This window comes from Homo sapiens, chromosome 19, assembly GCF_000001405.40.
Source record: "Homo sapiens chromosome 19, GRCh38.p14 Primary Assembly".
Taxonomy (NCBI): Eukaryota; Metazoa; Chordata; class Mammalia; order Primates; family Hominidae; genus Homo; species Homo sapiens.
Window position 1 is genome coordinate 19,240,027 of NC_000019.10, and position 23,640 is coordinate 19,263,666.

Consider the following 23,640-nt stretch of genomic DNA (forward strand, 5'->3'; position numbering starts at 1 on the left):
TTCTCCTCCTTTCTCCTCCCCCTCCTCCTCCCATTCCCCCCTCCTCCCTCCTGCTCCTCATCCTCCCTTCCATTCCTCCTCCCTCCTCCCCATCCTTCTTCCCACTCCTGCCCCTCCTCCCTTTCACTCCTCCTCCTTTTTCCTCCCCCTCATCTCTCTCCTTCTCCCTTCCTTCCCCCTTCCCTTCTCCAGCTCTTACAGAGGTTAGGGAGGGCATCTGTGTACTCCCTCACCTCTGTAAACTTCACTTCTATCTCCTTCCCTCTCCACCTCAACCTCCAGCCCACCTCCAGGCTGGGGAAGGGGCTGAGTCTTCCCCTCCCATACATACCTCACCCGGCCCCCAGCCCACAGAGAGGCTGAGGGAGGGGCTCTGGGTCCTCCTCCATCCCTGTACCTGCTTCTTCCCTCTTCATTTCCACCTTCTAGATCTTTCCCCCCACCCAGCCCACCTCCAGGCTGGGGAAGGTGAGGAATTCTTTCCTCCCACACCCTACCCCACCTCACCTGCAGCCTGTGCCCTGGGCCAGGAGAGGCATGGGTGAACACCCAGACCCACAACCCCCGACCCTGCAGGCTTTGGGCATGAAAACACGTGGATCGGCCTGAACGACAGGATCGTGGAGAGAGATTTCCAGTGGACGGACAACACCGGGCTGGTGAGTGGCAGGGGCTGCGGGCCTAGGCTGCTGAGCCACATCAGCCCTGCCATCTGGCCTCAGTTTACCCTTTTGTGCAAAGTTATCGCAATTGGGTGTCAGAGGTCTCTAGTGGCTCCAAGATGCTGGAGTTGGCAAAGGAGCTTCAAGTGAAGGCTAAACCTTCTCCCCTGACTTCCCCAGCCCAAGTAAACAGACCGCGCCCACGAAGCTGCAGAGGTTACAAACCTGAGACTAGGGTCTGATGCCTCCCCTACTCACTCTGCCTGGTCCCCCAGCCATGGTCTCTCAAATATTCTCATTTCTAGCCTGGGCATGATGGCTCATGCCTGTAATCCCAGCACTTTGGGAGGCCAAGGTGGGCACTTGAGACTAGCCTGGCCAACATGGTGAAACCCCGTCTCTACTAAAAATATAAAAATTAGCTGGGTGTGGTGGCCCACGCCTCTAATCCCAGCTACTCAGGAGGCTGAGGCGTGAGAATCGCTTGAACCTGTGAGGCGGAGGTTGCAGTGAGCCGAGATCACTCCACTGCACTTCAGCCTGGGTGATGATAGAACGAGATCCTGTCTCAAAAAAAAAAAAAAGTATATATATGCCAGGCTGGTGGTCCATGCTTGTAATCCCAGCACTTTGGGAGACTGAGTGAGGAGGATCACTTGAGCCCAGGAGTTCAAGGCTGCAGTGACCTGTGATCACATCACTGCACTCCAGCCTGGGTGACAGAGCGAGACCCTGTCTCTAAAAACATATTAGCTCAGCATCCTCCCTGCTTCAAGCCCTCCCAGACTCTCCATTGTTCTCAAGATAAAAATTCCCCTTCTCCCGCTGTGTAAAAATCTGGCGGTTCCTCACACAGTTAAACATAGAAGCTGGGCACAGTGGTACGAGCCTGTAGTCTCAGCTATCGGGAAGCTGAGGCGGGAGGATCACTTAAGCCTAGGAATTGGAATCCAGCCTGGGCAACACAGTGAGACCCCCGTCTCTAAAAATATAAAAATAAAAATAAAAAGTTAAACATAGAGTTACCACATGACCCAGCGATTCTACTACTAGATACATACCCAGAAGAATTGAAAACAGAGATTCAAAGTGGTACAAAAATGTACATTATTCGGGTCATGGATACACTAAAAGCCAAGACTTTGCCACTAGATGATATATATTTTATTATATGCATATGCATATAATAAAATTGCACTTGTACCCTTTAAATTTATACACAGAGGCCGGGCACAGTGGCTCACGCCTATGATCCCAGCACTTTGGAAGGCCGAGGCAGGCAGATCACTTGAGGTCAGGAGTTCCAGAAGAGCCTGGCCAATGTGGTGAAACCCCATCTCTACTAAAAATACAAAAATTAGCTGGGTGTGGTGGCATGTACCTGGAATCCCAGCTACTTGGGAGGCTGAGGCAGGAGAATCACTTGAACCCGGGAGGCAGAGGTTGCAGTGAGCCAAGATCACACCATTTCACTCCAGCCTGGGCAACAGAGCAGGACTCCATCTCCAAAACAACACAAACAAACAAAAAATTGTACTAAGAAAGAAAAAGAGGCTGGGTGTGGTAGCTCACACCTGTAATCCCAGCACTTTGGGGAGGCCAAAGTAGGAGGATCGCTGGAGCCCAGGAGGTTGAGGCTCCAGTGAGCTATGATTGCACCACTGCACTCCAGCCTGGGTGACAGAGCAAGACCCTGTCTCAAACAAAACAAAACAGGCCAGGCGTGGTGGGTGACTCACGCCTGTAATCCCAGCACTTTGGGAGGTCGAGGCGAGTGGATCACCTGAGGTCGGGAGTTCAAGACCAGCCTGGCCAACATGGTGAAACCCTGTCTCTACTAAAAATAAAAAAATAGCTGGGTGTGATGGCACATGCCTGTAGTCCCAGCTACTTGCGAGGCTGAGGCAGGAGAATCGCTTGAACCTGGAAGGCGTAGGTTGCAGTGAGCCGAGATCGCGTCACTGCACTCCAGCCTGGGTGACAGAGGGAGACTCTGTCTCAAAAAACAAACAAACAAACAAAAACTTGTACATGAATGTTCACAGCCCCACTATTCACAATAGCCAAGGTGGGAACATCCAAAATACCCATCAACAGATGAAGGAAGAGACAAAATGTGGTCCATCCATGCAATGGAATATTGTTCGGCCATAAAGGAGAAGTTGGCCAGGTGCAGTGGTTCATGCCTGCAATCCCAGCACTTTTGGAGGCCAAGGTGGGTGGATTGCTTGAGTTGTGGAGTTTGAGACCAGCCTGGGCAACATGGCGAAACCCCATCTCTACAAAAAATTCAAAAATTGAGACAGAGCGAGACTCCGGCTCAAAAATAAAATAAAATAAAATAATAAACAAAATGTGGAATGAGCCAGGCATAGAAGGCCAGCTGTTGTATGATTTTTTTTTTTCATGAAGCATTCAGAGTAGGCAAATTTAGAGACAGGAAGTAGATTAGTGTTTGCCAGGGGCTGGGGTCGGGAGAAGGGGGAGTCACTAGTGCTCAATGAGTACAGAATTTTGGTGTGTTGTGATGAAAAAGTTCTGGAAATAGGCTGTGCGGGGTGGCTCAGGCCTGTAATCCCAACACTTTGGGAGGCTGAGGTGGATGGATCACAAGGTCAGGAGTTCAAGACCAGCCTGACCAATATGGTAAAACCCTGTGTCTACTAAAAATACAAAAATTAGCCAGGCGTGGTGGCGTGCACGTGTAATCCCAGCTACTCAGGAGGTTGGGGCAGGAGAATCGCTTGAACCTGGGAGGCGGAGGTTGCAGTGAGCCAAGATCATGCCACTGCACTCCAGCCTGGGCGACAGAGAGAGACTCCATCTCAAAAAAAAAAAAAAAAAAAGAAAAAGAAAAAGTTCTGGAAATAACAATGATGGTTATGCAACATTGTGAATGTAATTAGTGCATTAAACTGCACACCGCCTCTTGAACCCGGGAGGCGGAGGTTGCAGCGAGCCAAGGTAGCACCACTGCAATCCAGCCTGGATAATAGAGACTCTGTCTCAACAAAATAAAAATAACAATAAACTGCACACGTAAAAATGGTTAAAATTGGCCAGGTGCGGTGGCTCACGCCTGTAATCCCAGCACTTTGGGAGGCCAAGGTGGGTGGATCGCGAGGTCAGGAGTTCAAGACCAGCCTGGCCAACATGGTGAAACCCCATCTCTACTGAAAATACAAAAATTAGCTGGGCATGGTGGCGCATGCCTGTAATCCCAGCTACTCAGGAGGCTGGGGCAGGAGAATTGCTTGAACCGGGACCTGGGAGGCGGAGGTAGCAGTGAGCGAGATCGCACCACTACACTCCAGCCTGGGCTCTGTCTCAAACAAAACAAAACAAAACAAAACAAAAATGGTTAAAATTAGGAATTATGTGCTATATATATTTTGCGCTATATATATTTTGCCACAATTTTTAAAAATTCACTTCCTTTTCTCTGATGCAAGATCTGGTCCCTCTCTACTCTCTGAGCACACCCCAGCCCCATCACGCAGCTCCAGCCCCACTGGGCTTTGTCTGTTCCTCAAGCAGAACAAGTTCAGTCCTGCCTCTGAGCCTTCACACTGGTGGTTCCCTTTGCTAGGAATGCTGTTCCCTGTCTGAACCCTTACTATCTTTTTTTTTTTTTTTTTGAGATAGAATCTCACTCCATCACCCGGGCTGGAGTTCAGTGATGCAACCCAGCTCACTGCAACCTCTGCCTCCCAGGCTCAAGGGATTCTCCTGCTTCAGCATCCCGAGTATCTTGGGACTACAGGCGCGCACCATCATGCCCGGCTAATTTTTGTATTTTTATGAGAGACAGGGTTTCACCTTGTTGTCCAAGGTGGTCCCAAACTCCTGACCTCAAGTGATCTGACCCCCTTGGCCTCTCAAAGTGCTGGGATTACAGGCATGAGCCACTGAGCCCGGCCTTGAATCCTTACTATCTTTGATTCTTTAACTCTCACATTGCCTCCTCAGGGAAGTCCTCCTGGACTTCGGGCTGAGATCACCATTTGTCCCACCATGTATCTTTTTTCTTTTTCTTTTCCTTTTTTTTTTTTTTTTTGAGGCAGAGTCTCGGTCTTGTCACCCAGGCTGGAGTACAATAGCGCAATCTCGGCTCACTGCAACCTCTGCCTCCCGGGTTCAAACAATTCTCCTGCTGGGATTACAGGCTCCCACTACCATGCCTGGCTAATTTTTTGTATTTTTAGTGGTGATGGGGTTTCACCATATTGACCAGGCTGGTCTTGAACTCCTGACCTCAGGTGATCCGCCCACCTCGGCCTCCCAGAGTGCTGGGATTACAGGCATGAGCCACCAGGCCTGGCCTTGTCCCACCACTTATCTAACACTGATTCATGTTGAAAATGAACTGGGTGCGGCCGGGCACCCAGGGAGGCAGGAGGACCAGGGAGGAGAATGCTGCAGCCTCCAAACCAGAGGAATGGTGTATTGGATTACAGTGGTGGCCCCCGTCAGGATGGGCAGGACAGTGGCCATTGTAGAGATGGGAACACTGAATCCCTGTGAGTTTGAGGGGTCTGGCCAGGGGAGTCCCACAGCAGGAATTGCCAGAACCTGGGCTGGAACAGAGGTCCCCTGAACAACTCCCTGCCCCCTATTCCTGCAGCAATTTGAGAACTGGCGAGAGAACCAGCCGGACAATTTCTTCGCGGGTGGCGAGGACTGTGTGGTGATGGTGGCGCATGAAAGCGGGCGCTGGAACGATGTCCCCTGCAACTACAACCTACCCTATGTCTGCAAGAAGGGCACAGGTATGCTGTGCCCCCTGCTTCTTTTCCTCTCTGTCACTTTTGCTCACTGGTTCTCTGTTGCCCAGGCTGGAGTGCAGTGGCATAATCATGGCTCATCACAGCCTCCACCGCCTGGGTTCAAGCCATCCTCCTGCCTCAGCTTCCCGAGTAGGTGGGACTATAGGCATGCACCAACATGCCCAGCTAATTTTTGTATTTTTTGTAGAGATGGGGTCTTGCCATGTTGCCCAGGCTGGTCCCGAACTCCTGGGCTCAAGCGATCTGCCTGTCTCAGCCTCTCGAAGTGCTGGGATTATATGCATAAGCCATTGTGCCCAGCCTTGATTCATTTTTTTTTTTCATGAAGCATTCAGAGTACACAAATTTAGAGACAAGAAGTAGATTAGTATTTGCCAGGGGCTAGGGTTTGGGAGAAGGGGGAGTCACTAGTGCTTAATGGGTATAGAATTTTGGTGTGTTGTGATGAAAAAGTTCTGGAAATAGGCCGCTCGGGGTGGCTCATGCCTGTAATCCCAACACTTTGGGAGGCCAAGGTGGGTGGGATTATATTTTATTTTTTTAATTTATTCTTATTTTGTTTTTACTTATTTATGTTTTTGGAGACAGTTTCGCTCTTGTTGTCCAGGCTGGAGTGCAAAGGCATGCTCTTGGCTCACTTCAACCTCTGCCTCCCATGTTCAAGTGATTCTCCTGCCTCAGCCTCCTGAGTAGCTGGGATTACAGGCGTATGCCACCACGCCCAGCTGGTTTTTATATTATTAGTAGAGACGGGGTTTCACCATGTTGGCCAGGCTGGTCTCGAACTCCTGACCTCAGGTGATCCACCCACCTCGGCCTCCCAAAGGGCAGGGATTACAAGCATGAGCCACTGCACCTCGCCTTCATCTTTTTAAGTTGGTAAATGTCAGTGCAGCCAGTTCTCACTTTCCACCAGCGTATGAGAGTGCTTGTTTCCTCCCACCCTTGCTAACTCTGCACATTCTTAAACTTTTGTTCTTTGTTCATCTAAGTGGGGAAAAATAGTATCTCATTGTTATCTTAGTTTGCATGCCTTTAAGGATGAGAATAACCAGTTGTTTTTTGTTTGTTTGTTTGAGATGGAGTCTCACTCTGTCATCCAAGCTGGAGTGCAGTATTGCAGTCTCGGCTCACTGCAACCTCCGCCTCTGAGGTTCAAGCGATTCTCCTGCCTCAGCCTCCCGAGTAGCTGGGATTACAGGCACACACCACACCTGGCTAATTTTTTTTTTGTTTTTGTATTTTTAGTGGAGACGGGGTTTCACCATGTTGACCAGGCTGGTCTCAAACTTCTGACCTTAAGTAGTCTGCCTGCCTCAGCCTCCCAAAGTTCTGGGGTTACAGGTGTGAGCCACCGTGTCTGGCCTAACCAACTGTTTATATGTTGACAGCCTGTTGGCATATATTTCTTTCCCTGTGAACTGTCAATTCATCTCTTTTGCCCAGTTTTCTATTGACTTGTTGATCTTACTGATTTTTAAGAGATCTTTATATATGAAAGAAATCATTTGTATACATTTGTACATCCACCTTTATTTTATACTTTGGTTTATTTTTGTTTCCATTTCTTTGTCAATTTTCACATCCTCCCCCCCATTTATTCATGTATTTATTTATTTATTTTTGAAACAGGGTCTTGCAATGTTGCCCAGGCTGGAGTACAGTGGCATTATCACGGCTCACTGCAGATCACTTGAACTCCAGGGCTCAAGTGATACTCCTACCTCAGTCTTACCAGTAGCTGGACTACGGGTGCACACCACCATGCCTGGCTTATTTATTTATTTATTTATTTTGAGACGGCGTCTTGCTCTGTCGCCCAGGCTGGAGTGCAGTGGCGCAATCTCGGCTCACTACAAGCTCCGCCTCCCGGGTTCACGCCATTCTCCTGCCTTGGCCTCCTCAGCAGCTGGGACTACAGGCGCACGCTGCCACACCCAGCTAATTTTTTGTATTTTTAGTAGAGACGATGTTTCACCGTGTTAGCCAGGATGGTCTCGATCTCCTGACCTTGTGATCCGCCTGCCTCGGCCTCCCAAAGTGCTGGAATTACAGGTGTGAGCCACCGCACCCGGCCCTTATTTTAAAATTTTTTTGTAGAGACAGGGTCTTGCTGTGTTGCCCAGGCTGGTCTCAAACTCCCGGACTGAAGCAATCCTTCCACCTCAGCCTCCCAAAGTGCTGGCATTACAGGCCTGAGCTGCCGCACCCGGCCTTTATTTGCTCAGATAATTATTATTGCCGTCTGTCTCCTTCATTCCCATTGTGCCCTATGTTTGGTGTAAGAATTAGAAAGTGAGGTGTGTCCGGGAGGTTGCTGTCCCTAAGGAGCTGCTGATTTGGGTAGAAGAGACAGACAGACACAGTCACTTCCAGCCCTGTGAGATAAGAACTGGGCAGAGGCAGGGACCTGTTGACGAGCTGAGGGGGGTGTCATTCCCAATAAAACTCAGCTTGAGCCCATGAGTTCAAAACTAGCCCGGGCAACATAGTGGGACCCTGTCTTTACAAAAAATCAAAAAATTAGCTAGGCTCGGTGGTGCGCACCTGTAGTCTCAGCTACTTGAGAGGCTGAGGTGGGAAGATCCCTTGAGCCTGGGAGGTTGAGGCTGCAGTGAGTTGTGATTGTGCCACTGCACTCCAGCCTGAGCGACAAAGGAAGACGCTCTTTTAAAAACAACAATAAGAGCCAGGCACGGTGGCTCATGCCTTTAATCCCAGCACTTTGGGAGGACAAGGTGGGCAGCTCATCTGAGGTCAGGAGTTCAAGACCCGCCTGGCCAATATGACGAAACCCGGTCTCTACTATAAATACAAAAATTAGCCAGCCATGGTGGTGCATGTCTGTAATCCCAGCTCCTCGGGAGGTTGAGGCAGGAGAATCACTTGAGTCTGGGAGGCAGGGGTTGCAGTGAGCCGAGATCACGCCACTGCACTCCAGTCTGGGAGACAGAGTGAGACCCTGTCTCAAAAAAGGAACAAAAAAATACAAAAATTAGCCAGGTGTAGATTACAGGCAGGTGCCTGTAATCCCAGCTACTTGGGAGGCTGAGGCAGGAGAATCGCTTGAACCAGAGAGGCGGAGGTTGCAGTGAGGCAAGAGCGCGCCACTGCACTCCAGTCTGGGTGACAGAGCGAAACTCTGTCTCAAACAACAACAACAACAACAACTAGTTTAGCCCCAGATGTGAGCACCTCTCTCACTAGAGATTCCTCTGTCCCAGTGCTCTGTGGTCCCCCTCCGGCAGTGGAGAATGCCTCACTCATCGGTGCCCGCAAGGCCAAGTACAATGTCCATGCCACTGTAAGGTACCAGTGCAATGAAGGATTTGCCCAGCACCATGTGGCCACCATTCGATGCCGGAGCAATGGCAAGTGGGACAGGCCCCAAATTGTCTGCACCAAACGTAAGTAGCTTCTCCCAGAGATCTCAACATAGGTTTTTGGTATTTCTAGTTTCCAAGTAAGACATCCTATTTCTCCACACATTGATCTGGCTTAATGTCTGCCTGATAATACAGCCTTGCAGATAAGTGAGAACTTACCAGCCTGTCTGATGTTTCCTTCATTTGTGTGTGTGTGTGTGTGTGTGTGTGTGTGTGTGTATGTGTATGAGAGAGAGATGGAGTTGTGCTCTGTTGCCCAGGCTGGAGTGCAGTGGCACAATCTCGGCTCACTGCAACCTCCCGGGTTCAAGCGATCCTTGTGTCTCAGCCTCCTGAGTAGCTGGGATCACAGGTGTCCACTGCCATGCCCGGCTAATTTTTGTATTTTTAGTAGAGACAGGGTTTCACTATGTTGGCCAGGCTGATCTCGAACTCCTGAGTTCATGTGATCAGCTCACCTCAGCCTCCCAAAGTGCTGGGATTACAGGCGTGAGCCACCACATCCGGCCTGGTTTTGTTTTTTTTGAAACAGAGCCTCACTCTGTTGCCCAGGCTGGAGTGCGAGGCTCAATCACAGCTCACTATAGCCTCATCCTCCCAGTCTCAAGGGATCCTCCAAACTCAGCCTCCCAAATAGCTGGGACTACAAGCATGTGCCGCCACGCCTGGCTAATTTTTTTATTTTTGTAGAGATAGGTTCTCGCTATGTTGCCCAAGCTGGTCTCAAACTCCTGGCTTCAAGAGATCCTCCCACTTTGGCCTCCCAAAGTGCTGGGATGACAGGGATGAGCCCTCGCGTCTGGCCTCTTTCCTCTACTTTCTCTCCCAAGGACACCCGCTGCATCAGGCCACCTGCCTCTCACCACCTTTTGTCCCTTCCCTGTCCTCCCTCACTTCCCTGCAGCCAGACGTTCACATCGGATGCGGCGACACCACCACCACCACCAACACCACCACCAGCATCACCACCACAAATCCCGCAAGGAGCGCAGAAAACACAAGAAACACCCAACGGAGGACTGGGAGAAGGACGAAGGGAATTTCTGCTGAAGAACCAGAAAAAAGAAAGCACAACACCTTTCCCATGCCTCCTCTGGAGCCTTCGCCTGGGGAGACAGAACCCAGAGAGAAACAAGAGAGTCCAGAAGTCCCTGAACCCCAAACCACATCCCCCACACACATAATCCTTTGTACAAAGCTCCTCTTTTCCCTTTTTTTACATACACAAGATCCTCTTGGCAGGTGGAGCCAGGTGTCTGAAAAGTTCATTCTCGTCTGGCTGAACTCTGGGAGTGTGTCCCAGCTGAGGGAAGCACAAGTAGCAAAGCTCATTGGTCTGGTCTCTTGTTTGCCAGGCTGATTGAAGCAGGCCTTGATGAGGGTGCATGAGTGTATGTTTGCATTCACATGAAGGAATTGCTTTTCACACCAGAAATTCAGACTTAGTCAATGTTGGCTGAATTCCTAAATCCAGGAAGAAGCCTGGACGTAGGGTCATTAGCTTTGGGAATAGAAGGCTACACAGAAGCACACTGTTTTTGAACTTGACAACAGCTCTCCCTTTACCCTGGACTTCAGCCCAAGTTCCGTCTTTGGTCTTGGTGGATAAACACACAGTGTGGAGATCCCACGTACTGCATTTTAGGGATGTTTTTAGGACAACCTCCCTCCATGCCTTCAGAGTTAGGAGTGAGAATGATCAAAGCAATATGTAGGTGATGGAGGGAGAGTGTATTGCTAACCCTTCCAGGTCTAGTCCAGCGCTGAGATTTGGTGGTTCTGCATGTGTGATGAATCTCTTTCACACAAATAGACGAGAGGATATTTAGGGCTAGATGAGCCCAGATTTCTTCCCCCTCCATCTCTCAGGGAGACAAAGAACCTCCTTCCTGGACCAAGGAGGTGCTGCCAAGTTTTCTAGCCCAGTGCACATACCCAGTCCTTAAGCAGACATTGGTAGTGCCCCTGCCCTGGGTCCCACTCCTGCCCCACCCCACCCTTGTCCCTGGCCATTGCCTGGTGGTCTAGAAACACTTAAAACTTGAAGTAGTGACACCTACCTGCGGTCATATTGTAGAGAGATGCTCAGTGTTAAAACTGAAACACACAAACACACACACACACACATTTTTCTCTTGTAGATTTTAATTTTTTAAGTGGGAAAGAACTCACCTTGCCTTCCTCCCCCAAATGTGCAACCTGTAAAAGGTCTCTCCACACCAGGGGCCAGGATCCAGTTCCCTCATCTCTGGCAGGAAAGATCCACAGCTTTTCCTCCATGTCTGTTACTCACTTTCAGCAGTCCGGGTAAAATCTGTGGATCAGGGTTAAAAAAGCACCGTGGAGAATGGCCCTCTTCAGGAAAGAAAAATAAGCAAATGAATGGTCCACCTAGGGGTTCAGTAAAGAAAGAAATGTGTTAACTGAGCCTGAATCCCTTCTGGGAAGTAATAATGACCATTGACAACTAAGAAGTAGACACCATGCTAAAGACTTACATACAATCTCCTTGAATCTTCTCAATAGCCCATTGACTTAGAAACTGTTACTTTCCCATTTTACACACAGTGAAACTGAGGCTCAGATATAAAGGAAAGGTACTGGCTTGAAGTCACAACCACGACAGGAGTAAGGATTTGGAATAAGGATTTGGTCCTGTTTTCTGGACCAAATCCTTACTCTGGCTCTGCTTACACTTTCTCTCCATCACCAAATCCTTACTCCAAATCCAGAAGTCAGAGCCAACTCCCATCTTGGTTCTGACCCAAATCCTGCTCTGGACTCTGGAGAGGAGATTGAAATATAATTGCACCCTCATACACATTTAGGAAATGGTTAAGAAGTGTAAACTGAACCCTTATCCTTGTCTTCAATCTTCCTCCCTGTAGACATCTATCTTATTATGGTTATTATTCAGAAAACCCAGGGATACAGGTTTGTCTTCTTACTTTGATAACTCTTCTTAGTTTAAAATAATAATAATAACACATCTTTGGTCATCTATGTCACACAAAAATTTTCCTTTGTTTGCGGGGGGCTGGGGATGCAGTGTTTTTTGGGGGGTCTTGGTTTATGCTCCCTGCCCTTGAGCCCCTCAGCCGTTTGCCCTGCCCCCACCTCGGCTCCATGGTGGGAGGGGGCTCTGGTCTTTTCTAAAGTGGGCGGTTTGTCTTTTGATCTTTCCCTTTTGGATGTGCGTGTGTGTCTGCGTGTGCCATGTGCGTGGCACGCATATGAGTGTGTGTGCGTGTGAACGGCTTTGGGTCCTGCTGGTTTTGCTGTGAGCTGCAGTGTTCTGTGGGTCTGTGGTATCTGACACTGTGGACATTAATGTACTTCTTGGACATTTTAATAAATTTTTTAACAGTTCAACCTGCCCGTCACCACCTGATACCTTCATTCATTCATTCATTCAGCAAGTATTTACCCGAGCAGCTATTGTGATCCATGTACTGTACTGGGTGCTGGGGAGATAGTGGTGAACAGAGAAGGTTTGGTCTTTAGTGGGTAGTCACAGAAGGCTTCCCCGAGGAGGGGAATGGAATCTAAAGAAGAAGTCGCATTAACTAGATGAGGAGAGAAAGAAAGGAAAGGCATTCCACTCAGAGGAAAGAGTGAAAGCAAAAGTCTTCTTGCAGAAGGGAGCGGGCGCAGTGGCTCATGCCTGTAATCCCAGCACCTTGGGAGGCCGAGCCAGGCGGATCACAGGGTCAAGAGATCGAGACCATCTTGGCCAACATGGTGAAACCCTGTCTCTATTAAAACTACAAAAATCAGCTGGGCATGGTGGCATGCGCCTGTAGCCCCAGCTACTCAGGAAGCTGAGGCAGGAGAATCACTTGAACCCAGGAGGCAGAAGTTGCAGTGAGCTGAGATGGTGCCACTGCACTCTAGCCTGGCAACAGAGAGAGACTCCGTCTCAGAAAAAAAAAAAAAAAAAAAAAAAGAAGGGCTCACTCGAATCAGTAGGAAAAAGACAAATCCATTAGCCAAGCAGGCAAAAGATATAAAAAAAAGTTTACAAAAAAGGAAATAGCAGCTCTAAAACTACAATATAGACTCAATAAAATAATACACATTTTGCAAGAACATCTAGATTCACAAGGAAGGACATAAAAATATAAGAGAATAAACAAATGTATCAAAAGATGGCCAGCATGGTGGTTCACGCCTGTAATCCCAGCAATTTGGGAGGCTAAGGTGAGCAGATCACATGAGGCCAGGAGTTCAAGACCAGCCTGGCTAACATGGTGAAACCCTGTCTCTACTAAACATACAAAAATTAGCCAGGTGCGGTGATGCGCACCTGTAATCCCAGCTACTCAGGAGGCTGAAACAGGAGAATCGCTTGAACCCAGGATGTGGAGGTTGCAGTGAGCCAAGATCACACCATTGCACTCCAGCCTGGGTGATAGAGTGATCTCCATCTAAAAAAAAAAAAAAGATCCTTGCATATATCAAAGATGATAATGTGCTTGAACTGTGAATGATTTACGATTTGCTCGACCGCCTGCACCTAAGGTCAAAGTTGGTGGTGGTGGTTGGAGATGTTCAACCTCACAAATAGAAACGCAAGCAACAACCACATTGAGATACCATTTTTCACCTATCAGATTGACAAAAATAAAAAGTGACAAGACATGAGGCTAATGAGGATGTGTGGAACAGGTGAGTACTTTTTTTTTTTTTTGAGAAGGGGTCTTGCTCTGTTGCCCAGGCTGGAGTGCAGTGGTGCAGTCTCACCTCACTGTAACCTCCGCCTCCTCAGTTCAAGTGATTCTCCTGCCTCAACCTCCCGAGTAGTTGGGATTACAGGTGCCTGCCACCATGCTGGGCTAATTTTTGTATTTTTGGTAGAGATGGGGTTTTGCCATGTTGGCCAGGCTAGTCTCGAACTCCTGACCTCAGGTGATCCACCCGCCTCGGCCTCCCAAACTGTTGGGATTACAGCCGTGAGCCACCATGCCCAGCCAGGTGAGTATATCTATTACCTGTGGAGTATAAATTGGCCCCATCTCTAAGAAAATGTGGAAATCACTATGAAAACGGCGAGTTTTAGTCTGGGCACAGTGGCTCATGCCTGTAATACTAGCACCGTAGGAGGCCAAGGCAGGTGGATCACCTGAGGTCAGGAGTTCGAGACCAACCTGGCCAACATGGTAAAACCCCATCTCTGCTAAAAACAGAAAAATTAGTTGGGCGCAGTGGCAGGCGCCTGTAATCCCAGCTACTTTAGAGGCTTAGGCAGAAGAATCGCTCGAACCCGGGAAGCAGAGGTTGAGGTGAGCCGAGACCGTGACATTGCACTCCAGCCTGGGCAATAGGAGCAAAACTCTGTCTCAAAAAAAAAAAAAAAAAAAAAAAATGGTAAATGGGGAGTTTTGACCCTTTGAACAAACAGCTTCTTTTTTTTTTTTTTTTTTTGAGACGGAGTCTCGCTCTGTCGCCCAGGCTGGAGTGCAGTGGCGCTATCTCAGCTCACTGCAAGCTCCGCATCCCAGGTTAGGCCATTCTCCTGCCTCAGCCTCCTGAGTAGCTGGGACTACAGGTGCCTGCCACCACGCCCAGCTAATTTTTTGTATTTTTAGTAGAGACGGGGTTTCACCATGTTAGCCAGGATGATCTCGATCTCCTGACCTCGTGATTCGCCCACCTCAGCCTTCCAAAGTGCTGGTATTACAGGTGTGAGCTGCCGTGCCCGGCCTGAACAAACAACTTCTGATATCATCCTCCAGTTATACTTGAACTTGTGAGTGATGATGTGGATACTTACTTCTAGCAGAAACATATTGAGAACAATATAAATGTCCACCATTAGGAACCTGACTACAAAATTATGATGCATTCAATCCAAACCATTGATCCTCTTCAGACTGTCAGAAGAATGAGGAAGAGGAGATTTACTTATTTTTATTTTTTGAGACAGGGTCTCACTCCGTCGCCCAAGCTGGAGTGCAGTGGTACAATCATGGCTCACTGCAGCCTCGACCTTCTGGCTCAAGCAATCCTCCCACCTTGGTCTCTTAAAGTGCTGGGATTATAGGCATGATCCACTGTGCACGGTCAGGACCTTACACTATTTTTTCTCTTCATGCTTTGTTGTATCCTAGAAACTTCCAGTGCTTCCTCAGCCCCTGCCCTCAGCCCACATATTCATGTCAGGGAAAGTTTGTAATGTCTCTCCCTTCCTGGTACAGGAACCCCCCTTCCAGTTTCCCGAATTTCATGCCCTGGATCTTGTCAATGACCCAGTCAGGACAGAGTTGACAAGGAGCAGACCCATGGTGGGTGGCTAAAGGGAGACAGTGGGCACAGGATGGGGGAAGAAAGAGGAGCAAGAGATTGGGGAGGTGGGGGAGGAATGAAGGACCCCACTTCCAAAGAGAATAAAAATCAAGCCCGGCCAGGCGCAGTGGCTCACACCTGTAACCCCAACACTTTGGGAGGCCGAGGTGGGTAGATCACCTGAGGTCAGGAGTTCAAGACCAGCCTGGCCAACATGGTGAAACCCTGTCTCTACTAAAAATACAAAAATTAGCCGGGTGTGGTGGCAGGCACCTGTAATCCCAGCTACTCGGGAGGCTGAGGCAGGAGAATCACTTGAACCCGGGAGGCAGAGGTTGCAGTGAGCCAAGATTGCACGACTGCACTCCAGCCTGGGCGACAGGGCAGGACTCCATCTCAAAAAAACAAAACAAAAAAAACCCCAAGCCCCCCAAGCTTGTAACATCTTATCTACCAAAGTGCATTTATACAGGAATTACCCACTGGCTGCCTCATTTTCTCATTCATCAAAAGAAACAAGGATTTATTGAGCCCCTACTGTATGCTTGGCACTCACGGGGACCACAGAACAGCCCTGGTACAGTGGGAGAACACAGGTTCAGAAGGAGTTTGTCACTTGGTCACACAGTGAGCAAGAAGAGGCAGAATTCAAACCCAAACCGACCTGGTCCCAAAACTCAGAGATAGGTTTCCTAGAGATGACGTGACAGTAAAGAGGGCCCCAGGGGGACCCCAGTACTCCTGCAGGCAAGACTTCGGGACTGGGGTCTCCCACGGCCGGGATGGCCTTGTCCATGGATCATGTCCCCCCAGCTGCCTGTCAACGCCGAGGACTTCGGCTGGGTCCTGACCTCTTAGCACAGATCGCCGCTTAGAGCCTGGTGGGTGTTGAATTTTAAAGAACATTCCATCCCTCCTGGATCTCTAAGGAGGGAAATGTGGGTGGGGGTCAGGGAAGGAGAGAGGAACTGGGTGAGAATGGAGATGGGGTCTCAGAGGACAAAAGAGGAGCTCAGTGCTTGCATATCTCAACAGACCAGGGCACGCCATAGGCTCGGTTTCCTCATTTGTAGGACGACGACAAACATGCCCGGGTGTTGCAAGATTGTCTCGTGCACAGCTGCTATCCGGCATAGAGTTAACGTGCAAACGGAGGGTGGCTTAGCAGCTCCAGAAGTCCAGCCCTGTCTGGGGAAGGGGCAGCCATCAGGCCCCTGATGGGGTGCAGTAGGGTAGCCCTAGTAGGAGGCACCCAGGACTTCTGGCCCACAATGAGAAGTTCCTGAGAACTGGAAGTCTGGTTGTCATGAGGACAACGTTGACAGTCTCTATGGCAACAGCTTGGTGAACAGGGCCCCGTTGTCCACAAGGAAAAGCCTAGGGGGACAGGTGTTCTGTTACCTCGGACTCCAGAGTTTGGTCACCATGGCAACAGTGGTGGGGTCCAAACCGCCTGGGGGTGGAGCATGGAGGGTGGTCTGGAACTGGAGTGGGCCTGGGGACAGGGACAGTTTGTTTCCATGGTGAGAGCCGGAGAACTGGATGTTGGGTCACCCTGGCGACAGCTTCGGGGAGGGTGATCTCCATGGCGGTGAGTCAGGGTAGGGACAGCCAGAAGTTGAGGTGGAGGTCTCTGGGGTGGGGGCCAATGAGATGAGAAATGTGTGGTATCCATGGTTACAGCTGGAGGAGGGAGGCACTGTCTTCATGGGTGTGCCTGATGAGGGAAGGGGTGTGTGACTCTAGGTGACAGGTAGCAGCAGGACTGGTTGCCTTGGTGACAGTGGGACCCAAGGCAACTGCTCTGCATAACTAGTGACATGGATCTTACCGGTCCCCAGGCCTGGGAAGATGGTCTGTTTGGTGACAGTTGGGAAAGGGACGTCAGAGGACAGGGTGGGTTTGCTCTCCCTTCAAAGAAATATCTGAGGGGTGGGACGTGGCCCCCAGTAAGTGAGCCAGCTGGCTGTGTGTCAGTCTGAGGTGGCAGATGGGGGTGCTCGCCCATGAAACTAGAGGGGTGTGCCCTGTTACCCAGAAACTGCAGGGGACTCTCAGGGAGAGGGGGAGAATGGGAGTCTCCAGGACTCAGGTCACCATAAGGGAAAATAAGCGCCTCGGCCCACAACCTCCATGTGACCACGGGGAGTGACCCTGAAGTTCCTGTAGTCTCTCCAGGTGAGGAGGAGGGGGAGGAGGAGGCGCCCAGTGTCCCACGTGACCGCAAGGGACTAGTGTTCAGTCTCCAGTGAGATGCAGAAGGTGTACGGCCGGTCTCTAGTCAATCCCGGGGGTCCAGCCACCAGGCGACCACGGGGGCAGTTGGTCTGTTTCCAAGTGGTCTCAGGAGGCGTGGCCAGTCTTCAGGAGCCTGCGGGTTCTGCTGGCCTCCTGAGGTCCTCAGGGGGCGTGACCCTCATGGAGAAAGTTGGGGAGTTGGGGGAATCCTCTATCCAGAAGAGGTGAGGGCTGGCCAGGCTCCAGGGAACTCCAAAGTACTGTTCTGCCAGGACTAGCCAGTCTTCAGGGACCCCAGGGGCACAGTTAGTTTGTAAGGGACCACAGGGAATGTGGCCAGTGTCCAGGGCTTCAAGGGCGTGGCCAGGCTCCAGGGGACCACAGGGCTCTAGACCAGTGGTCAAGCGCCCTGGCTGTCCGCCTACTCCCAGCCTAGACGTGCAGAGGGGTCCAGGCAGCAGGATCGCGCGCGCCCCCTGCCCAGCCGCCGCCGCCCGCCCAGCCCCAGCCCCAGCCGCCAGGTGCCGGGTCCGGTGCTCCTGGAGCGCGGTAGCAGTAGACGCCGAAGAGCCGTCGGGTGGCGTCCGGGAAGCCGAGGCTGCGCACACCAGGCCTGCGGCCTCCGCAGCGCGCTCGCGGGTTCACGATGGGGTAGCGCGCACTGCCATCGGCCAGCCAACCCGCGGTGCAGCGGTCTAGCAGCTGCAGCTTCCACGCGGCGAACAGCTGCCCCACCTTGGCCACGGCCGCGCCACGCGCAGCACACGCGCGCGCAGCTCCGGAGAAGGGTACAGGTCGCAGCGGCTTCAGGAAGAACACGCGCCCTGCGGGGGTGAGGTGGGGGGTGGGTTATTAGTGCGGCTCCTGGGACCCTGCTTCGGTGGGATTCAGGACTGCCCCCCGCATGCAGCCTAGGACTCTGGCCTCGGCCCCGGGATCCAGGAACAGTTCCTCCTTTGCAGCCTGGGACCCCAGCCTAGGCCCAACCAGCGTTGGTACCAGGCGGTGTGTGCTGCGCCTAGGCACTCTTGGGAGAGGGGTCTCCTGTTTCTGATCGCTAAGAGCTGGGTGGGGAAGAAGGCCCCGGGGTTGGGGTAGTGTTGCAGCAGAGGCCAGTCTTGGGGTGAGGCCTACGCACCCGGCAGGTTGGACGTGAAGCAGAAGGCGTCGTAGCGTTCCTCGGCGTTATGGCGATACCCGTAGTTGCGCAGGCCCCCGTTGGCATCACCGCCGCCCCCTGCACTCCCGGTCCCCCCCAGGCCGCCGCAGGGCTCCCGGGGCCGGTTCACGGGGTATTGCACTGAGCCGTCGCGCAACCAGCCCGCGTTGCACCAGTCCAGGCCGTCGCGCCAGGCCGCGTGCAGCTGTTCTGCAGATGCCAGGATGCCGTCCTGCTCGGCGCACGCGCGCTGCGCCTCCGCGAAGGTCAGCTTGTATCGGCCTCCACGGGGGTGGTAGGGAAAGACCACGCCTGGCGGGGGGCGCACGGGATCAGCAGGTACACCCCAGCCCACCCTCATGCACCTGACGTCTGGGGTGCTATGTGACTCTTCAACCGGGACCTTTCAGTCCATTCCTCCTCACTCTGGCCTCAGACCTGACCACGATCCTCCCCAGCTCACACCCCATATAGCTGTCTCCCTTCACTTTAAGCTTGGGATTCACTTGACCCTCCCCCTTAACATACTATTTGTGTCCATCCCCTTCCACCTCTGGAGGACTTTGCTCATGCTCTTTCCACCTTATTCTACCTGTTGAACTCCTATTCATCCTTCAAAATCCAACTCCCAAACCCTCTTCCATTGAGTCCTGTGTGCCTCTGACATTCCGCCAGTACTGGGTCCCTCCCTCTGGTCCAGCCCTGAGCCCACGGAGCCTGCGTTCAGTGCTGACTCTCCTAGACTAGGACCCCCTGGAAGATTGGCCCTAGGTGAAGACCCCTTTGATTCCCCCAGCATTGTCCAAGGGAGTACCCACTGGGTTCCCTTCTACCTTCAGTTCTGATGACTTTGGAACTTGTCCCTCATTGGACTCACAGTCCGTTCAGCTCAAGTATTTTGTGTGTCTGTGTTTGAGGGACGCGGGTTGGGGGTGAGTGGGGTACCCTGGAAAGAGGCAGACAGGGTCCAGGGAGAAGGCCTGGAGCTGACAGACTGGGGATTGAATCCTGTCTCTGCCACCAACTAGCACTGTCCTGGGCAAGGCTCTAACCTCTCTGAGCCTGTTGTCCATCTGCTGGTAATAGCTGTCTCCCTTGGGGTTTTTAGGAAATTAAATTAGAGACTCCTGAGAACTCTTCAACTAAGCACCTGCCACAGAAAATGTCCAGTAAAGGAGAGCTGCTGCTATTATTGTTGTTATTTGTTATTGTTAGGGAGGTCAGCAAGCAAGGGCCCTGAAATCTCACCTAGAATCTTCTAAAGAGAACTGGAAAAGGCCAATCAAATGGGAGGGAATTCTTCAAATAGAAACCCCACCTCCCAGCTCCAGGGTGAGCCAATCAGAGCATCCCATCTTCCAGCTACAGTGATTGGCTCACAGTTGGGCACATGACTCAAGCTGAGCCAGTGAGGGACAACTCTGGGACTCTAGCTGCTGCTCCTAGGAAATCAGTTGCTAAGCAGGGAAGTGAAAGCCTAGGCACTGTGGTCTTGGTTCCAGAAAGAGAAGCCTGTCGGAAGAAAGCCTACCTGGGAAGCAGAGCAGAAGGATGGTTCCTGACACGGTGTGAGTGCCTGGATCTCACTGTGCCTGAATCCTATCCCAGGACTTCTCAGTGTCCTCATTGTGGACATTTTGGACTGGATCACTTTTATTTTATTTTATTTATGTATTTATTTATTTATTTTTGAGATGGAGTCTCGCTCTGTCGCCCAGGCTGGAGTGCAGTGGCACGATCTCCACTCACCGCAACCTCCACCTCCCGGGTTCAAGAGATTTTCCTGCCTCAGCCTCCCAAGTAGCTAGAATTACAGGAATGCACCACCATGCCTGGCTAATTTTTGTATTTTTACTAGAGATGGGGTTTTGGCATGTTGGCCAGGCTGGTCTTGAACTCCTGACCTCAGGTGATCCGCCTGCCTCAACCTCCCAAAGTGCTGGGATTACAGTCGTGAGCCACCATGCCCGGCCTGGATCACTCCTTGTGGGGGACTATCCTGTGCCTGGTAGGATGTATAGCTGCATCCCTGGCCTCTACCCACTAGGGGCTAGTAGCAACTGCCTTCTCCAGATGTGACAACGTAAAATATCTCCAGACATCGCCAATGTCCCTGGGGAGGAAAATCACCCAGAACCAGATATGGGGGCTCTACCCCAACCAACCTTCTAAATGCCTGCAGGCCAACTTGATTTGGTTTATGTCCCTTGCCATCCCCGCCCCCCTCCTTCCTCAGAAGCAAGGTTTATCCTCCCCACCGGCTGATCACCTTCCAGGTCCAGCTTGACCATGCCAGCGTCATCTTCCAGCTCATTGGTGACTTCGCACTCATAGCGCCCGTAGTCTTGCAGCGTGACGTTGCGGAGGACCAGGGAGGCATCCCCAGGCCCGTCGCCCTGCAGCTCAGCCCGCCCACGGTAGCTGCCGAATGCCCGGTGCTGGGGGCCTAGTGCCACGAAGACGTCGGTGAAGGCCAGCGGGTCCACCACCTTTGTCCACTTGAGCCGGACGCCGTCGTGACCGTGGGCGGCTGCCTCATAGTGGTAGCGGCAGGGCAAGACGATGGTGCCACCACGGTGGCTTACCACCTGCCCAGGCGCTGTCTGTACCACTACCGAGCCCGACTCACCCTCTGAGGACAACCAAGCAGGGTTCAGAGGAGGGGCCTAGGGGCAGAAGGGGGCCTCTGGGGAAGGTGTCTCTGGGGAGGGGAACGTGGGAAGACTCGGGTGGGGGTCGGGGAATCAGAAGGGTCCAGGGGCTCAGGGAGAGGGCGAGGGGCTCAGATGGGGAGTGGCTGGGGGAACCGCGGACGTCAGGAACGCCCTACCCGCTACCCCTCTCCGCACTTGGCCACTTCTGCTTTTCGCGGAGAAGACCACTTTTAGCGGCCCTGACTCACCCAGCACGTGCACGACCTTCTTCCGGCCACGCTGCGCCCCCGCAGGGGCTGTGAGCAGCAGGACGCCCCAGGCCGCGGCCCAGAGCGCGCCGGGACCGAGGGCCGCCCGAGCGCACACCTGGGGGGCGGGCACGGGGCGCTCAGTCCAGCCTCCCAGCCTTGGCTTTTCGGAGGCCTGGCTCCCTCCCGGGCCTGCCTTCCCCACAGCGAGGACCTCTCTCACGCCCATGTCCCCACCCTTTCCGGGGTCCTGGAGAACTCCCCCTCCTCCTCTTGGGACCTCACATCCTAGCTTCTGCAAGAACCCACGCCCCTAGACTCCCCCCCGCCCTCAGTCCTGCCCCAGATCCCGCCTCATTCCCCCCCACCCCAAAACCCGAGGCTCGCTGCCCCGCCCCCTTCTGGCCCTGGCCCGGGCCGGGGATAGGGGGGTGGGGAAGAGCTGGAGGAGCGGCGGCAGCAAGGTTATCCGTGCGCCAGGAGACTGCAGCAAACCGGGCCGGGGCGGGCAGGGAGGGGGGAGAGCTGGAGAGAAAGAGGGAGAGACGCGGGGAGAGAACAGGGACAGAGAGAAAGGCAGGGAGAGGCAGAGAAGAGAGTGCGCGACACAGAAAAAGGGGAAGGGAAGAGAGAGAGGCAGAGATGGAGAGGGAGAGACAGATGGAAAAGAAGAGACAGATGTAGAGGGAGAGACAGAGATGGAGAGGGAGAGACAGAGAGGCAGAGGGAGAGACAGAGGGGCAGAGGAAGATACAGAGATGGAGAGGGAAAGACAGAGATGGAAAGGGAGAGACAGAGAGGAAGAGACAGAGAAGCAGAGGGAGAGAGAGAGAGGCAGAGGAAGAGACAGAGATGGAGAGGGAGAGACACAGATGGAGAGGGAGAGACAGAGAGGCAGAGGGAGACAGAGAGGCAGAGGGAGAGACAGAGAGGCAGAGGGAGCGACAGAGAGGGAGAGGGAGAGACAGAAAGGGAGAGGGAGAGACAGGAGAGTGCCAGAGGCAGAGAGACTCAGAGAAGAGGAGGGAGAGATAGGGACAGGGAAAGACAGAAACGGAGAGGAGAGGAAAAAGGCAGAGAGGATGACAGAGATGGAGAGAGGCAGGGAGAAATGGAGAGGGAGAGAACCTAGAGTGCCAAAAAGAGAGATCAAAGAGGGTGAGAGACAGAGAAAAGGAAGAGACAGAAGAAACTCAGAGGGATATAGATTCAGAGGCAGAGAGATATAGAATCCAAGATTGGGGAGACGGGGCACACACCACCCGCGCCCGCAGCCCCACTTACCATCTTGCCCGCGCGGCCCCCGCCGAGCGGCCCCTACGCACCCGGACTGCGCTCCCCGCACACCCGGTTAAGACTGGGCAGGTCCCTGCAGGCGGCGCAATCCCGGCGTCTGCCTGCAAGGGGAGGAGGAAGGCGGGCGAGGCGGGGTGTATTAAAGGGGCCGCGGGGGCCCACGCTCCCCTGGAGCAGTGGCTGGAGCGCGGGCGGAGAAAGAAGCGCTCTGGACTTGGAGTGCAGAGCTAGTTCCCTCACCCTGCTAGCTGAACTTAGGCCAGGGAAGAACCTCTCTGAGCCTCAGTTTAACCATCTTTGAAATGGAGGAGGGGGCTGAGTCTTCTATCTTGGTTACTGTGCTTTGGCAGGGGACCTGGGGGATCTGGTGAAAGAGATCATTTGGCCTGCAGGCCACCTGTCCATTGGGTAGTCATAGTGGAGTCCTGGTCTCCAGCACCCCAAAGGCGCTCCCTGTGCAGGGTGGGGGCCTCACGATAGTCACACTCTGCTGTGGACTGGAGCCACAGGCCCCAATTCAAGTCTGCCCCTCACTGGCTGTGAGACCTTGGAGGAGACAGTTGGCCTCTCTGAGCCTGCTGCTGACTCTTTGGTGAAGATCCAGTAGCTAGACATACAGTAGATCTCCGGTAGGGGTTGGGAGGGGCAAGAAAAAGGGACATCTAGGCCGGGCGCGGTGGCTCACGTCTGTAATCCCAGCACTTTGTGAGGCCAAGATGGGAGGATCACCTGAGGTCAGGAGTGCGAGGCCAACCTGACCAACATGGAGAAACTCTGTCTCTACTAAAAATACAAAATTAGCCAGGTGTGGTGGCACATGCCTGTAATCCCAGCTACTCAGGGGGCTGAGGCAGGAGAATTGCTTGAACCCAGGAGGTGGAGGTTGTGGTGAGCCAAGATCGTGCCATTGCATATCAGCCGGGGC

The 23,640-nt window shown here is 52.5% G+C and overlaps 2 protein-coding genes across 2 annotated transcripts in view; one reads left to right on the forward strand and one right to left on the reverse strand.

Moving 5' to 3' along the window:
* NCAN (neurocan) overlaps window positions 1–12,207 on the forward strand; it is a 40,276-nt gene extending 28,069 nt beyond the window's left edge. The window contains exons 12-15 of the mRNA NM_004386.3: window positions 577–659; window positions 5,287–5,431; window positions 8,674–8,856; window positions 9,740–12,207. Coding sequence (NP_004377.2) covers window positions 577–659; window positions 5,287–5,431; window positions 8,674–8,856; window positions 9,740–9,885 — 557 coding nt within the window. The 3' untranslated portion in view covers window positions 9,886–12,207. The remainder of the gene's footprint in view (window positions 1–576; window positions 660–5,286; window positions 5,432–8,673; window positions 8,857–9,739) is intronic.
* A 2,522-nt stretch (window positions 12,208–14,729) lies between these two features.
* HAPLN4 (hyaluronan and proteoglycan link protein 4) lies at window positions 14,730–22,778 on the reverse strand. Its single transcript, NM_023002.3, has 5 exons — window positions 22,704–22,778; window positions 21,420–21,537; window positions 20,787–21,149; window positions 18,497–18,829; window positions 14,730–18,182 (listed from the first exon to the last, which is right to left on the reverse strand). The coding sequence occupies exons 1-5, from the start codon at window positions 22,704–22,706 to the stop codon at window positions 17,791–17,793; spliced, it is 1,209 nt and encodes a 402-aa protein (NP_075378.1). The 5' UTR covers window positions 22,707–22,778; the 3' UTR covers window positions 14,730–17,790.
* Between the last annotated feature and the right edge of the window lie 862 nt (window positions 22,779–23,640).

What these genes read in the sequence shown, in the direction of transcription:
- HAPLN4 (NM_023002.3), bottom strand. An exon ending in GAAGGTCGTGCACGTGCTGG is followed by an intron (nt 21,150 to 21,419) that starts GTGAGTCAGGGC and finishes GGTTGTCCTCAG; the next exon opens with AGGGTGAGTCGGGCTCGGTA. An exon ending in GGTCAAGCTGGACCTGGAAG is followed by an intron (nt 18,830 to 20,786) that starts GTGATCAGCCGG and finishes GCCCCCCGCCAG; the next exon opens with GCGTGGTCTTTCCCTACCAC.